Here is a 17,051-nt window from a genome sequence, read left to right as displayed (position 1 = left end):
GCATCCTCTGGCATCTAGTTCAGCTTCCATTTCCTTACTTTAAATCTCTATCTCCAACTGCCTGCTTGGTTATTTGCCAACTCCAAATCAAAGGATTAATCAATGCTTATCACCATCTTCCTGAAAAGTGGACCTATCTCCGTACTTCATTACCTCTGTAGTGGTACTCTGTTCTAGTTATACAGGCTCAAGCTACTTATGAATTTGAAAGAGATCCAATATCTCTCAAGCCTACAATAACTTCAGGTAAGAAAACTGATTAAAAATCAGAAAACAACTAGACTCTCCATTTAGAATCAACTACTTATTTATTTTTTTTTTGAGACGGAGTTTCGCTGTGTCGCCAGGCTGGAATGCAATGGCGAAATCTCGGCTCACTGCAACCTCCGCCTCCTGGGTTCAAGTGATTCTCCTGCCTCAGCCTCCCAAGTAGCTGGGACTACAGGTGCGTGCCACCACGCCCAGCTAATTTTTGTATTTTTAGTAGAGAGAGGGTTTCACCATGTTGGCCAGGCTGGTCTTGAACTCCTGACCTCTTGATCCGCCCGCCTTGGCCTCCCAAAATGCTGGGATTACAGGCATGAGCCACCGCGCCCAGCCCCTAGAATCTACTTAAGAACCCAAGGAAAAATACTTGTGTTTTCAATATAAGAAATTTGCAAGGAATAAAAAGACATGAGAAAGCCTACAGAAAGGACCTAAAAAATATGACATTTATGAGAAAATAAAAAATTTAAACACTTACTGGATATTTGATATCAAGGAAGAATATTTAAAGATAACCTATTTATGGGGCTGGGCACGGTGGCTCACGCCTGTAATCCCAGCACTTTGGGAGGCTGACGTGGGTAGATCGTGAGGTCAGGAGATTGAGACCATCCTGGCTAACATGGTGAAACCCCGTCTCTACTAAAAATACAAAAAATTAGCCGGGCATGGTGGCGGGCGCCTGTAGTCCCAGCTACTCGGGAGGCTGAGGCAGAATGGTGTGAACATGGGAGGCGGAGCTTGCAGTGAGCTGAGATGGGGCCACTGCACTCCAGCCTGGACGACAGAGCAAGACTCCGTCTCAAAAAAAAAAAAAAAAAAAAAAAAAGATAACCTATTTATGGATAAAATAAAATGATGCCTGAGACTTGTTTCAGAAAGAGTGGAAAGGGGTGCATGGAGTACAGCTCAAATAAATTTGGTCAGAAATTCAGAATGACTGAAACAGAGGAATGGGTAAATGGAGATTCTCTTAAAGTAAAAATAATTTACAAAATTCTTATAAGAAAAATAATTGTGTACACCGTACCACTCTCAGCAGTGAAGCCATATACAATTGGGGTCTTAAAAACGAAGGGTGGCTTGGTACTCACATCATCATGCAAAACACACAGGAACTTTATGACCACTTAGTCAACAGAGTACCAAACTGAATTTGTTTGGTCAGTGACTTTCTATTACACTAAATTTGCATGTAATTGTTTCTCGGCTAGCACCAATAGGACAGACTGTATTTCAGAAAAAAATTCAAGTGAAAAATTAGTAAAATCATTTTGTAACAAATGCTGCCTATGACAAACATTAGCTATAGGACTAAACAAACTTTGGTTTTAAAATGAGCAAGGCAAACAGCAAAAGGTTCAAACACGTAGGATTTTTATGGGGCAAAAATTACTATCAAGTGTTTCAAATTACATTATTTCAAGTGGGTAATCTGATGAGTTTTATATTTGCAAAAGTAATCTTATTCCAATTATCCATATCCACAGTTCTGAAGATGCAGACCACCTGGACACAGGTAGTGACAAGGATGAATTTTTCTGTGCAACTAAAAGTGGTGGGTAGGGGAGGGAGAACCACATACTTCCCTGGTTAATTTATTTCTAAATAAAAATACGGTAAATTTGCTTGCTGATCATGAAATCTGTATTGAACAAACATCAGTTTGACTTACCTGTTTTCATGAGACAGACTATGGTCATAAAAATCACCTGTGTGCTTCAGTTACCTGAATAATTCAAATACTCAACCTATCAACAGAGTAAGCTATATATTTCTCTCAAAAAACTCAGCATTTCTTCCATTAGAGATTACTACATCTAGAAAATTCTAGAGATCACTGAATTTTCTGCCATGTGTATTTTGGTATGAACATATTTTTAAAACTAGCCATTCTTTCTTAATAAACAATTTCAATAAGGCTAAAATTTCATATTAATGTACTTAAAAAGTGAAGAGATACTTGAAAATTTTTATATCAAATATAACCTATCTTTTCAAGTCAATATAACAAGATTAATCTATGGTAATTAATCAACACACTATAGAGTAAGACTGAACTTTCTAAATACTTAATAGAACTTTGTGAATCCCCAATATACTTAAAGTTTGATTTTGTATATTTGACTGCCAAAGCTTTAATAGTGTTAAGACCTAACAATTCATCTTGAAGAATCTTCAACTTTCTGAAAATTTTGGTTTGTATATTTAAGAGTTAAGGCTTATATTAACATTTGGCTTCTATTAACAGATAAAATAGGAGCTTAGAATATATACAAAATTTCAAAACTGATTCCTAAAATTCCTAAATTTCTTTTTCTTTTTTGAGATGGAGTTTCGCTCTTGTTGCCCAGGCTGGAGTGCTATGGCGTGATCTCGGCTCACCGCAACCTCCGCCTCCTGGGTTCAAGCGATTCTCCTGCCTCAGCCTCTCGAGTAGCTGGGATTACAGGTATGCACCACCACGCCCGGCTAATTTTGTATTTTTAGTAGAGACGGGGTTTCCCCATGTTGGTCAGGCTGGTCTTGAACTCCTGACTTCAGGTGATCTGCCCGCCTCGGCCTCCCAAAGTGCTGGGATTACAGGTGTGAGCCACCGTGCCCTGCCTAAAATTCCTAAATTTCTAATGAGTGGCAAACACAGAATTCCATCTATGGCCAACTGAGGCAACAGAAGACTTACTACTGTGTACCTACTTCCTAAAAATTACTCTGAACAGGATTCCCAAGTATGTATACTACAAGGATCCTTTAGGAACTGGTTTACTTCAATAAGGATCATCTCTCTTAATGTCTGATGTTCAATTAGCTTAGAGTAGTGAGACACAATTACTTCAATTCCAGATTTAAATCCCTATCATGACATTAGTAAATTACCAAATCCTTCTAAGCCTGCTATCCTCATCTACAAAATGAGGATAAAATATATAACGAGAGTTTTTGTGAGAATTAAATGACAGCATGCATCACTGTCACGTAAATAGAATTCAAAACTGGCTTTTTACTCACATTTACATTCTTAGTACTCTCTCTGGGCTGGATTTTATTCTTATATTTTCTCTAACCAGTACCCTTTTTGATATATTATTCTCAGAAGTGACCTCAAATCCTTTGTTGATATACATAAACTCCAAGAAGAACCAACCAACCAACCAACCAACCCAATCTAGTTTTGTTCCAGAGTTCACAGTATAAGGAAAAGAGAAACATGTAAGTAAGGGGAACAAAACGAAGAGTGAGAAAACATTTCCGTGAAGAAAGCATTTGAAAGAATTCCACATAGGAAATAGATCCTGAAAAGTTATTTTCATAGTGGTTTAATAGGTGTCACAAAAAGGTATTTTGTGGCAATGTCATTCTTCCTCAAAAATTGAATACCTTCATTTATTTGCCAATTTCATAAAACAGCATTCTGGAGGTCAATTTTTTCAAAGTGATTTAAAAATAAGTAAAACATTTTTAAAAAGAATTAAACTTGAAACAGACCTCATCCACTGTAAATTTTAGGCATTACTATTCCTGAGTGTCAACTATACATATCAAATGATTAAACACCTCCCTCCTGATTTAGTCAAGATATCTGCAGTAAGTAATGTGTAAATGACAACTGTTCCCAAGACTTATGATAAAAGCTTTTAGCATAGATTAGAAAATGAATAAACATCTCAACAAGTAAAATTACTCTTTTCAGCATTAAAAAATAATTTGTGAAAAATGTAGTGAGTGTAATTATGAAGTGTCATATTCATCTCAACTCTAGTTCTAAAATAACCGGACATCATTTTAACCAAGAGAAATGCTGGTTTTCCAAATAACAGGTTACCTTTACCCGAGGTTTAAAGAATAAATATCAGCATCATGACATCACTAGAAAGAAATTGAAGCATACAAGGAATAAACTATAGTTTCTTTTTATATCAAAATGTACTCTTGAAAATGTGTTTGGCACAGTGCTAAATCATATATAGTTAATACTAAATATTGCAGGATACAATAAAACCCTGGAGTTAATTGTTTACACCCTCTTATGGGAATGAAAATAATAGATACCAATTATTCAGAAGTCAGCCTATACAAACTGTATAAACAATATTTTATGTTTTGCTTTGAAAACCAGTGATATAATAAATTTTACATAAAAGACTGTAAAATAATATAAATGGATTTAAACAGATTTTTACAATAAGAAATTCAAATGGAAACAGACAAGTAACAAAGAGAAGTAAAAAAATTTATTGCAGTATTCGCTCCACCAGATTACCTGGGGATCCCTTTTCTTGTATTGTTTTCAGGGTGACCTAATACATCAAAATCTACATTTACAAAAACTCCTTCTGCAGATAGGTCATAGATACTGCATGCTTTTTTTTTTTTCAACAGAATAAATTATATATCCAGGAGATTCTGCCATTTTACAGCCTGGAAAAAACAATGCTTCCCTGGAAACTGGGCTAAGCTAAAGAAAGCCATCCGCTGCTAGGTTAAACTCCAAGAACACTTTATTAAGAACATTAACAGACTAATTTCCAACATTCACTTGTTTATTTTTTTTAAACAGAAAGTTTTTTTTCCAAGATATAAACAATTTTTGTTAAACTATAATACAGTGGGAGTAAAAATGAACTGAGAATCTGTTTCTGCTGCACAACAGCGAAGGGAGCTCCCACAAAAATGTTTGCCCAACATTTCCTTCTTTTGTTCCTGCATCCCAGGTTCCACTTACTCTTCATAAAACTGATTTTTTTTTGCCAGAATGTTGGTATTTCAAGTTTTTCTGCCTTTTAAAAAAATTCCTGTAAATTTGGCTGCATGTACAAATTCATTAGCTGGAAGTCCCATCCTTGGCGGCATACAGGGATCGTAAAGTCTGAACAACTTTATTAGTCAGCTTATTAGCACTCGTTAGAGCAATTTTTTTGTAAATAATGTCTGACTCTTTAATAGTGTCTACCCAAGGCACCAGTTTGCGGCCATCACGGCGCTTAGCCTCAGTCCAGGAGCCACTGTAGGAGCCTGCCATCCACTGAACACTGAAGCCACTGCTGGTTTTCTGCACTACTCTTGCAATTTGTGGTCGATCTTTGTACTTTGGACAGCAAATAGCGATGACATCCATGACGTCAACACTTTCATTCATCTGTGCTGCCAACTCCGTAGAGTCTGAATTTCGTTTTGACCTTCTCAATGACTAAAACATTGGGAGGGGGGAAAAAAGACCAAGTGTTACACAAAAGAATTTTAGTGAAATTATTGTTTTTATTGCTTTTAATCCCTTGACGCCGGGAGTTGGGATTTCCCGGCACACTTCCATTGCCGGCAATGAGACGCACCGTGACCGCCAGCGCCAAGGGGTTAACATATACTTGTAAAACCATATAACTCTTAATTTGTACCCGTGTCTTTACTCTTATTGATATATAAAATTATATATACATATGAACCATATAGCTACATAAAACTTAGCAACAATAAAAATAACACACATTAATACAATTCAAAGAAAAATTAACCCTTTATGCTGGATAAATCTCATTTCTGTTTTTTTATTGTCTTTTATGTTAAACTTTCTACAAAAGGATGTATAAACGGGTAAGTAGAGAATCTCTATCTACAAAATGTTTTCTCTTTTAAGTATTACATTACTTGGTGTACATTTAATAGACTGACATATATAAGCACATAAAAATCATTTTACGTAATACGCTGCGAAATACGTTGACTCCTCCTCCGCCTCACCCCTGAAGTGCCTCCTCCTCTATCCTCCCCATCACTTTCATCATCTTCTGTCTCTGCTGCTGTATTATTTTTAGGGCTGCCTCCTCCAAGCAGTGAGGTAATTGCTTTGTTCCGAGCATTTGTGCTAGCTGAAACCTCCCCTTCTTCTTCTTCTTCATCAGGGTCCAGATGTTCCATGAGAAGTTTGAACTACAAAAAACAGATATTATTTCAGAATTTTAAGTAAATATTTCAAGCAAGATTGTCAAATTCCTAAATGTTTTCTATGGCAGTAGTTTGGTGTGGGTGAAACAGACGTTAGCCATCATCTAAATTAGGGGCTAGTAAACATTTTCTGTAAACAGCCAGGTGGTAAATATTTTTCATTTTGAAGGTCAAATAGTCTGTCACAACTACCCAACTCTGCCACTGTAGTATGAAAGCAGCTACAGACAAATAAATGAGTGGGCATGAATGTTTTCAATAAAACTTTGTTTGCAAAAACAGGCAATGGGTTAGATACAAAAACAGCCAGAGTTTTCAGACCCTTGGTCCAAGTCATCAAGCAATCAGGTGATAATTACTGATAGACATTTTCTAGTTATCTCCCCTCTTTGCTCTCTGCTAAGACGATACAAGAGAAAGCAAAGAATGTTGAAAAATTTTAAATAAGAACTAAAATATTTTTAAATTTTAGAGTAAGGTTTGCAGTCAATGAATAATATGAAAAGCCACTGTGTAGATTATATTCTTAGTTCAAAAAACCTTATTTTATGTTCAGCTACTTGCTTTAAAGTAGATTTTTAAAAATTTTTTTAAGAAAAATAGAAATGGGGTTTTGCAATGTTGGCCAAACTGGTGTCAAACCTCTGGCCTCGAGTGATCTGCCCACCTCAGCCTCCCAAAGTGCTTGTGAGCCACTACACCTGAAATTAAGTAGATTAAAATATAAAACTTTATTTTTATTTTTTAGGATAGTCCTCTAATTTCAAAAACATTTTTAAAAACTTTTATATTGTGATAAAATAGAAATATCATAAAATTTGCCAGCTTAACCCTTTTTTTTTTTCTTTTTAAATTGAGACAGGGTCTCACTCTGTCACTCAGGCTGAAGTGCAGTGGCACGATCATGGCTCACTGTAGCCTCCACCTCCCAGGCTTAGGTGGTCCTCCCACCTCAGCCTCCCCAGCAGTTGGGACTACAGGTGCACACCGCCATGTCTGGCTAATGTTTGTATTTTTTGTAGAGACAGGGTCTCACCCTGTTGCTCAGGCTGGCCTGGACTTCCTGGACTCAAGCAAACCTCCTACATAGGCCTCCCAAGGTGCTAAGATTACAGGTATAAGCCAGCATGTCCAGCCTACCAGTTTAACCATTTTAAATGTATAATTCATTGGCATATTGTACAACTATCACCACTGTCCATTTCCAGAGCTGTTTCTTTTTTTTTTTAATCACTGGAAACCACAGCTGTCCTCATTAAACAATAACTCCCCGTTCTTTCCTTCCCCGGTCCTTGGTAACCTCTAGTCTATTATCTGTCTCTATTTTTAAAGCACATTTTATATACATACATTTGCATACTTGATAAGTGAGAAAATCTACATATATATATATTGGCATTACTCATATAAGAACATACGAAAAAGTAATAATATTGGTTATCAGAAAAGAAAGGAACAGAATAGCCAAACACGGTAAGAGAATGACTGCTTGCAGTTTTACCTTTTATGACATATAAGCCATGTATTTTTCTGAATTAAAAACATAGCCCTCTGTATCCCCGGATTCCGCACCTGCGGATTCAACCCACAGTGGATCAAAAACTATTTGGAAAATGCCACAATAAAAAATAACAGCACTGGCCAGGTATGGTGGCTCATGCCTGTAATCCCAGCACTTTGGGAGGCCGGCGGATCACCTGAGGTCAGGAGTTTGAGACCAGCCTGGCCAACATGGTGAAACCCCATCTCTACTAAAAATACAAAAATTAGCCGGGCGTGGTGGCTGGCGCCTGTAATCCCAGCTATGCGGGAGGCTGAGGCAGGAGACTTGCTTGAACCTGGGAGGCAGAAGTTGCGGTGAGCCGAGATCGCGCCATTGCACTCCAGCCTGGGCAACAAGAGTGAAACTCCGTCTCAAAACAAAACAAACAGCATTACAATAAAAAATACAACTTAAAAAAAATGCAGTATAACAACTATGTATATAGCATTTACATTGTATTAGGTATTATAAGTAATCTAGAAATGACTTAAAGCATATGGGAGGATGTATGTAGGTTATATGCAAATACTATGCTTTTTAAATAATTTTTTTGAGACAGGGTTTCACTCCTGTCACCCAGTATGGGGTGTAATGGTGCAATCTCAGGTCACTGTAACCTCTGCCTCTCAGGCTCAAGCACTTCTCCTGCCTCAGCCTCCTGAGTAGCTGGGACTACAGGTGCACACCACTGCCCCCAGGTAATTTTTTGTATTTTTTATAGATACGGGGATTTGCCATGTTGCCCAGGCTGGTCTCAAACTCCTGAGCTCAAGTGATCCACCTGCCATGGCCTCCCAAAGCACTGGAATGACAGGTGTGAGCCACCTCACGCAGCCCACTACGCCATTTTTTTATCAGGCCCTTGAATATCGGAGGATTTGGGTATCCATGGGGGGACTGGAACCAATTTCCCGCAGATACCAGGGGACAACTACAAAACACACACAGGTTTTCCTATAATCTTTCATTTTTGCTAAAATAAAATTATTCGTGGGCTGCTGTTTCCTAAGAAAAAATAATTAGGATGCCATGGGTGCAATGGGAAAGACAAGCTTAAAGTAACTCATTAAAATAAGATAGAGAAAAATTATCTTGATAGTTCATGAAGCTTATATTCAATGTGAAGGAGATAGTTATCTCCCCACCGGCCCCCCACATTTACTTGTCAAAAAAGCCCTTATGAGAAGTAAAAACTTTTGGTTTTACTACTCACATCTAGATACTGTTTTACTATACTCCTTTTCACCTCTTCTGTGATTTTGGAATTAGCCATGTCACTCCGCAGGAAGTCCAGTGTTTGTTTTGGATGAAAATGAACTCCTGTTTTTCGGTTTATCGCTTTATCATATACTTTTGCAGATTCAGATGGAGAGTACTTCTGAATTTTACTGTTTTGGGAAAACAAAACCAAAAACTTTAAAACTATGGAAACAACGTATTTGGAGAAATCCAATTATAGGTAGGAAGCACCATATTAATGAAATTAGTTTCTCATGTCTATTTTTAATACTATTGTGATCCTAGGACAGCTTCAATACAATTACTTAATACCACCTAACTGGTTTACCTCTTTCTACTAGTTGCTCCCCCACCCCCAACCTATCCATCCTCTATATAGTGGCCAGAATGATTGTTTATAAACCTGTTTCAGGTTATTAACAACTCTGCTTAAAAATCTTTCCAACTCCTTAGCATTGCCTCAAAACCTTACAAGGTTTTAAATTATTTTGCATCTTGCCAACATTTAACATCAAGATATTCCTTATAAGGCCAGGAGCAGTGGCTCATGCCTATAATCTCAGAGTTTTGGGAGGCCAGTGTGGGAGGATCACTTGAGGCCAGGAGTTCAAGACTACCATGAGCAACACAACTAGACATCATCTCTACAAGTAAAAAATAAAAAAAATTAGCTGGGTGTGGTGGCATGCATCTGTACTCCCAGCTACTCAGGTGGCTGAAGTAGGAGGATTACTTGAGCCCAGGAGTTTATGATTGCATAACTGCACTCCACCTGGGCATCAGAGCGAGACCCTGTTGCAAATACAGATATTCCTCTTAAAAATCTGGATTTCTAGTGTCTCCTGAAAAAGTGGGAGCTCTAGCCACATTATGCCTACCCTCTCCTTTGGCAACAAGCTTATGGAAACTTGAGACAGGTCCACTTAAATGACCTCTTTACATGCAACACACTCTTTCCAGTTGGCCATTGACCAGGTAGCCTATTAACATTTGATTTTGTGATTCCTAATCTTAGATTTCAATGAATGTAAAAAATGACCAAAATTCCATGGTTACAGGCAGAAAAGAGGTATCTTTAATGACTACTGGTGGGTAAAACTACAGGGTGTTTATAATAGCTGTACCTTTTCTCTCTCTTACTTTATAGAGTACTTTAAATACTATTTGAGTTCTACTGGAGCTCTGTTTAGTTGGTTTACATCTGTTACTTCAGAGCTCTTTAAAAACTTAAACTTGTAATCTATTTTAAGGTTAGCTTGAGTCTTTTTAAGGAAATCAACAAAATAAGTCCTTCAATTTGTAATGCATTATCACCAAGTATAGGAATATGTTTTTTTCCCTTTAATAAAAATAAATTATGGCATATTACACAATAGAATACTATCCAGCAATAGAAGAGAATAAACTCCTTTTTAAAAAAGGAACATTTCTAACATTAAAGTAAGCATGCAAACAAAACTGGGTTTCATATTTATTATTATTTTTTTAGACAGAGTCTTGCTCTGTTGCCCAGGCTGGAGTGCAGTGGCGTAATCTCAGCTCACTGCAATCTCCGCCTCCCAGGTTTAAGCGATTTTCCTGCCTCAGTCTCCTGAGTAGCTGGGGTCACAGGCGTGCACCACCACACTAGGCTAATTTTTGTATTTTTAATAGAGATGGCGTTTCACCATGTTGGCCAGGCTGGTCTCGAACTCCTGACCTCAGGGGATCTGCCCGCCTCAGCCTCCCAAAATGTTGGGATTACAGGCATGAGCCACCACACCCAGCCCAAATATTTATTATTTGAACAGAGTGAAGTTTTTTCTCTCACTGCTTATGTAACCTTACCTATCAGAAAATCCACAAAGATTCTTCAAATGTTGTTTTAACATGAGAAGTAATAAAATACCCTGGGACACATTTGCAAATTCGATTAAAGGAGCTGAATTTTCTGGCAAACATTTCATCACTGAATTTATATCGTCTTCTGAATCTGAATCTGAATCTGAATCTACACGTTTCCGTGACTTCCGAGGCCTGGAAACTTCTTCTTCACTGTCGCTTGACTCATTTTCCTTACTAGGTGATGATTTTCTCTCTTTCCTTTTGTCCTTTACCATAGACTGAAAGAAAAAATCGTTTGATAAACAATAAAAACAAAATGCCACTAGTAAATATAAGTATGCTCCATTCAACAGCTTGAAAAAGCTTCCTTAAACTAATATTTTATAAACCTCTTGACTTTATATCAACAACTGGATATGTAATCTTAGGGGATAGTTTCTAAAACTAAATAAAATTATATATAATATCCACCCCCTCCCCTACAACCACTCCTTCAAAAAAATCCTTCTGAAATATCATTCAAAGGGAAACAATTTTCTTCTAAGGACAGTAATAAAAGATAGTTATAAAAGTATCAATTTGGTGCATAGGTAAGTCATTATGAGGAAAAGCAGTAATTATAATTTAACTGAGGAGAATAAAGTAATCTTGGACATCCCAGCTTCTAGCAAACTCTCCTTTTCAAGAACATTTCGGCAAGATAATAAGCAATTTTCTCTGAAGACTTAAATCCTGTTTCTTTGTACTTTATGAAAATGTTAGCTCTTAGAAACAAAGTCAACTGGACTTAAGCAGTTTGTGTGGTGTGTGTGTGTGGGGCACATTATAACAACATTTCTTCAAAAGTGGAAGAAACATTTACAAAGATAGCCATACCAGTAAGTAGGTAAAATAAGAGAACATGAGGGCTAAAGCTCCTGGGAAATTATTAACTTCTCAAACTTAAATGTGCACATTAACATCTGTGGATTTTGTTGAAGATGCAGATTCTGTTTCAGCAAATCTGGGTGGGGCCTGAGGTTCTACAGCTTTAATAAGCTCTCAGGTGAAACCACTGCTGCTGGTGTGTGGTCTATACTTCAAGTAGTAAGGGTTTAAGACACCTCTGTAATTCCAGCCCTCAGGAGGCATCTAAAATAATCTGTCTGATTTACTAGTCTGACAAGGCTGAGTTGTGAGCAATACAATTTTATAAAATGAGATCTACTTGGATCATTAGATACATGAGAATATTCAATTTGTAAAGAATTTACTGAGTGCTTACTATATGCCTAGTGCTACACCAGGTACTTTTATAATTAAATAAATTACATTCCTCCTAAAAGTCATGACAGAAACAATGGAAGGTTCAACAAGAAATTTAGCAAAGATTTTGGGCACACATATGCAAACTCTATAACGGTGCTGTAGTTGAGGGATAAGAAAGTCAATGGTGTCATAAATTTTCTGTTTAAGTGTAAATAAGCTATATATTTTCATGTGTAATGTTGTGATTACAGCATTACAAGATTTACAGAATAATGTTTTAAAATGGAGTTTAAATGAATGTATGAATGGATGCAAACACTTAAGGTCAGTGCTTAAAGTGAGAGAAATAAATGTGATGGCTTATCAACAGAACAATCCATATATCTATTTTAGATGTTTCTAAATAGAGGTAAAGTGGCAATGTACATCCTCTCCCAAGTCAAGTATTGCCCAGATTTCATTAAGTTCACTTAGAAAGATTTTATATACTCGTGAAGAGGATAAAAAGAATAATGAGAAACAAAACAGTGAAAACAGCATGCCTGCACTTTGACAGATGGATTAAGAATAGTAATGTGTGTAACTTACCTCCTTGAATGACTGCAGTAGGTTACTACCAGAAACTGAGAGTGTAATGTCTATATGATGCATTATAAACAACGGCTCTTCCTGTGTCTGGTATGGAAAACAGGCTAGATTGTCTGCTATATACAAGAGCATAGTCACGTCTGTTTTCTGTAAATTTTAAGAAAAAGCACACATGTTTAGCGGATAATCTAGAAACCCAACCAAAAAACCTTTTTTAGAAAAAATACAGGGCACTTTCACCTCACTTAATGTTAGACAGAGATAAGCAGACACACACGGAGAGAGTGGGGAGAGACACAGAGAGACAGAGGGAGAGGAGGAGGGAGAGAAATATAGAGGGGGGAAAAAGGGAAAGGGAGACAGGTGTAACAAAAAGGGAAAAGGGGGAACAGAAATGGAATTTTATAAAATAATCTTAGGCCCATTTTTTTTAATTTTATAATGACTTACACTATGCTATCTCAAGAGAAGAGGTGAAATTTTTTATTGCATCCATGTGAAATTCCTTGAAGTTTTCTTAGAGTATATGGAATCTTTATGATAAATCCATACCATATCAGAAAGTATACATGAAAGTTCTAGTTATATCATTGTGCTACTAAGAGTTTAACCTATATGGAGATCAGTTACACACAGTTACTATTCTGCCCTCAAAATAACTAGTAATTATAGTACTAATACATAGGTTAAAAGAAAAAACCCAAATCCCATGTACTCATAAACATTTGTCAGTTTCCTGTGTATATGTAATTCAGAATGTCAGAGTTGTTTTGACAATGCTATCAGTTTCACACTGTAAAAACTGTGAGGCAGGCAAAATTTAAGAGAAAAATTATGATTATTTAGTTGCTTGCTTTAAAAAGAAGTAATAGAGAATTCAAGCATTTCATGATCATAAACAGAAAGGCATATTAATATTCAAATTTCTTTTAAATATTTATAGCTCAAGGAAAAAAAAAGCTCACAACTAAAAAACACTCACTCCTACCATCTACCTTCCCCTGCCATGGAAACAACATAAAACCCAACAGCAGCAGCAGCAAGATCCCATAGCACAGATGGAATAACCTTGCTATTAATATTCATAAGAGTATCACTCTCACTCTATTTTTACTTTACAATATGTATCAACACCCACGTTACAGATGAAAAAATGTAGACATAAAACCCTACCTCATCTATTAGTTTTAACACTATAATTCATATATTTTCAAAACTCATATAATATTGAAGAAAATATACATATTTTCTTCAACATCCATAAAAGCCCTGTATTTCTCTTTCCTTTCAAAGTTCTTCAAAGAATAGTTTAGACTGCTCCTCCCATGTCTTCCCCACTATTTTTTTTTAAAGGAGACATGATACCACTCACTGCCACCTTGAACTCCTGGGCTCAAGCAATCCCTTTGCCTTGGTCTCTTCAGTAGCTAGGTAGCTAGGAGTATAGGTGCATACCACCAGGCCTGTCCAGTTTTTATTTTTTAATTTTTGTAGAGATAGGGTCTCACTATGTTGCCCAGGCTGGTATGGAACTCCTGGGCTCAAGCTATCATCTGCCTTGGGTGCTGGGATTACAAGCATGAGTCATCTCACCTGGCCCTCCCTTTTCAATTACAATCTGCTTTTGTCCCTCACTGCTTGACTGTTTTTGTCCACGAAGTTCACCATTCTACTCTATTTTTCACTTCTTACTCTCCTTGACTTCTCAGTAGCATCTGACTATTACCCACACTTTCCTTCATGAAATCTTCTTCCTAAGTTTTCTCTTCCTACCTCTTTGACTACTCCCTTTTTATGTACTCCTCAAGCCAACTCCTTTGCAATCTGACTTTGGCAACAATCCTATTATTGTTTCAGGTGCTCAAGATAAAAATATTCCAGTTGTCCACTAACTATTCTTTTCACACAGTCTCATTTAATTCTTTCCTCAACTTTCTTTTCTTTTCTACTATCCATTCTTTTTTTTTTTTTTTTTTACTGTTGAGATGGAGTCTCGCTCTGTCGCTCAGCTGGAGTGCAGTGGTGCGATCTCAGCTCACTGCCAATCTCTGCTGCCCAGGTTCAAGTGATTCTCATGCCTCAGCCTCCCAAGTAGCTGGGACTACAGGTGCGCGCCATCATGCCTGGCTAATTTTTTTGTATTTTCAGGAGAGAGAGGATTTTGCCATGTTGGCCAGGCTGTTCTCGAACTCCTGACCTCAGGTGATCCATCTGCCTCGGCCTCCCCAAATGCTGGGGTTACAGGCATGAGGCACCACACCCAGCCTCTACTATCCATTCTTTTTCTCCCCTACTGTTATCATAGTAATTTATTATTACCTCCAGTGTGACCACAATGCTAAAAAAATTCATCTTCCTAAACTGCTCTTTGGCAATTGTCCTCATTATTTTATTCACACACTTACAATGTTTTTTTTTTTGCCATCTACAGGATCCTCTATATATTATTCCTCATTATGACCTTTCTGCCCCAGTCAAATAACAAACTATTCATTATTTCCCACACATTCTTATCTTTGTATTTTTAATTAATTTTTTGGCCCTGACTGGAACATCTTCCTTCCCTGGTTTATATAGCAGATCCCTCTCATTCTATCCCTCTGGGCCTTCAGGCATTTGTTCCTTCTCTGACATTCTTTGTTGGAGGTAGTCAGAAGAAAGCATTGCATTGTGAGAGCTGGGTTTCCAGTTTAGCATTTCAAATGCTGAGATGACAAAACATCTAGTCAATGACATAAAGCAGGCAGTGAAATCACATAGAAATGAAGTTCTTTTGGACAGAAACAAGGACTGGAACAATATTATCAACACAAACCATCAGGGCACTCAGGATATACTAACCGTAATCACTATTAATTTTGTATCCTATCCCCACAGCTGGAGGGAAAATCCTTTCAGGGCAAAAGCACTACATTATATCATCTGGCACTCCTCGTATAGTGTCCTATACACAATGCAAACTTAATACTGATAATGATATGATGATAATGTTGATGATAAATTTCATGTAGTACTTGAAGAGGTCTAGTAAGATATCTGCACTATGGTAATTATAATTTTGCTTTATTGCAAAAATCTGCTGTCAGGCTAACAAGTAATTAAAGTATTTCTTTTGTTCTTTTTTTTTTTTTTTTTTTGAGACGGAGTCTCGCTCTGTCGGCCAGGCTGGAATGCAGTGGCGTGATCTCAGCTCACTGCAACCTCTGCCTCCTGGGTTCAAGCAATTCTCCTGCCTCAGCCTCCTGAGTAGCTGGGATTACAGGCGCGTGCCACCACGCCCGGCTAATTTTTATATTTTTAGTAGAGATGGGGTTTCACCATGTTGGTCAGGCTGGTCTCGAACTCCTGACCTTGTGATCCACCTGCCTTGGCCTCCCAAAGCGCTGGGATTACAGGCGTGAGTCACCACTCCTGGCCTCTTTTGTTCTTTTAAAAGTTGCTATACACATAGGTTCATGCGTGCTCTGTGTGGGCAGAAACCATATCTGTTTTTACTATTTTATGCTCGTTAAACTTCTTAGCGCAATGGCTGGTACATAGCAGATGCAGAATAAATACTGTGTGAAATAAATAAATTAAAAGGTAAACTTTAAAGAATATTCAGTTTTCTTGGCCTATGGTCCTGGCCAATGCAACTAGTGCAACAGCCAGAAGTGTCAAAATTGTAATTATGGTAATCTCCCCAATTGCTGTTTTGCTTTCCATAGTTTCAGTTACCCTTGGTCAACCATAGTCCAAAAATAGGTGAGTAAACTACAACAGGGTATTTTGAGAGAGAGAGAAAAGCAAGATCCCATTCACATAACTTTTATTACAGTATATTGTTTTAATTGTTCTATTTTATTATTATGTTAATCTCTTACTGTGACTAATTTATAAATTAAAACTTTAACATAGGTTTGTATGTATTGGAAAAACCAGTACAGTCATGTGCCACATAACATGTTTCAGTCAATTACAAACTATATATATGATGATGGTCCCATAAGATTATCCTATCATATTTTTACTGTACCTTTTCTATGTTTAGATATGTTTAGGTACATGAATACTTACCATTGTGTTATAGTTATCTACAGTATTCAGTACAGTAACATGCTGTACAGGTTTGTAGCCCAGGAACAATATAGCCTAGGTAGGCTACAACATCTAGGTTTGTGTAAGTAAGATGTTCACCCCACAAAGAAATCGCCTAACTATGCATTTCTCCAAATGTATCCCTGTCATTAAGTGATGCATGACTGTATATATAATAATTAGTACTATCCATGGTTTCATGCATCCACTGGGGGTCATGAAATGTATCTTTAATGATAAGGGAGGACTACTATACACAAAAGTGGACTACTATACAGAAAAGTGACTTCCCTTCATTAAGGGAAATCAAGTTGAACAACTAGGG

The 17,051-nt window shown here is 37.2% G+C and overlaps 1 protein-coding gene across 8 annotated transcripts in view; it reads right to left on the bottom strand.

Annotated features, from left to right (window-relative positions):
• NIPBL (NIPBL cohesin loading factor) overlaps positions 3,569–17,051 on the bottom strand; it is a 189,645-nt gene continuing 176,162 nt past the window's right edge. For 3 of the 8 annotated variants that reach the window (NM_133433.4, XM_006714468.3, XM_005248282.6), the window contains 5 exons: positions 12,650–12,796; positions 10,817–11,091; positions 8,964–9,138; positions 6,004–6,192; positions 3,569–5,455 (listed from right to left, as the gene is read on the bottom strand). In NM_133433.4, coding sequence (NP_597677.2) covers positions 5,090–5,455; positions 6,004–6,192; positions 8,964–9,138; positions 10,817–11,091; positions 12,650–12,796 — 1,152 coding nt within the window. In that variant the 3' untranslated portion in view covers positions 3,569–5,089. Of the gene's footprint in view, positions 6,193–8,963; positions 9,139–10,816; positions 11,092–12,649; positions 12,797–17,051 lie in introns of those variants that run through there. The other 5 variants (NM_001438586.1, XM_017009329.2, XM_006714467.3 and 2 more) reach the window with 5 other exon arrangements.

Source organism: Homo sapiens, chromosome 5, assembly GCF_000001405.40.
Source record: "Homo sapiens chromosome 5, GRCh38.p14 Primary Assembly".
Lineage (NCBI taxonomy): Eukaryota > Metazoa > Chordata > Mammalia > Primates > Hominidae > Homo > Homo sapiens.
The sequence above is the reverse complement of the archived record's forward strand: the minus strand, read 5'-3'. Positions and strand labels throughout refer to the sequence as shown.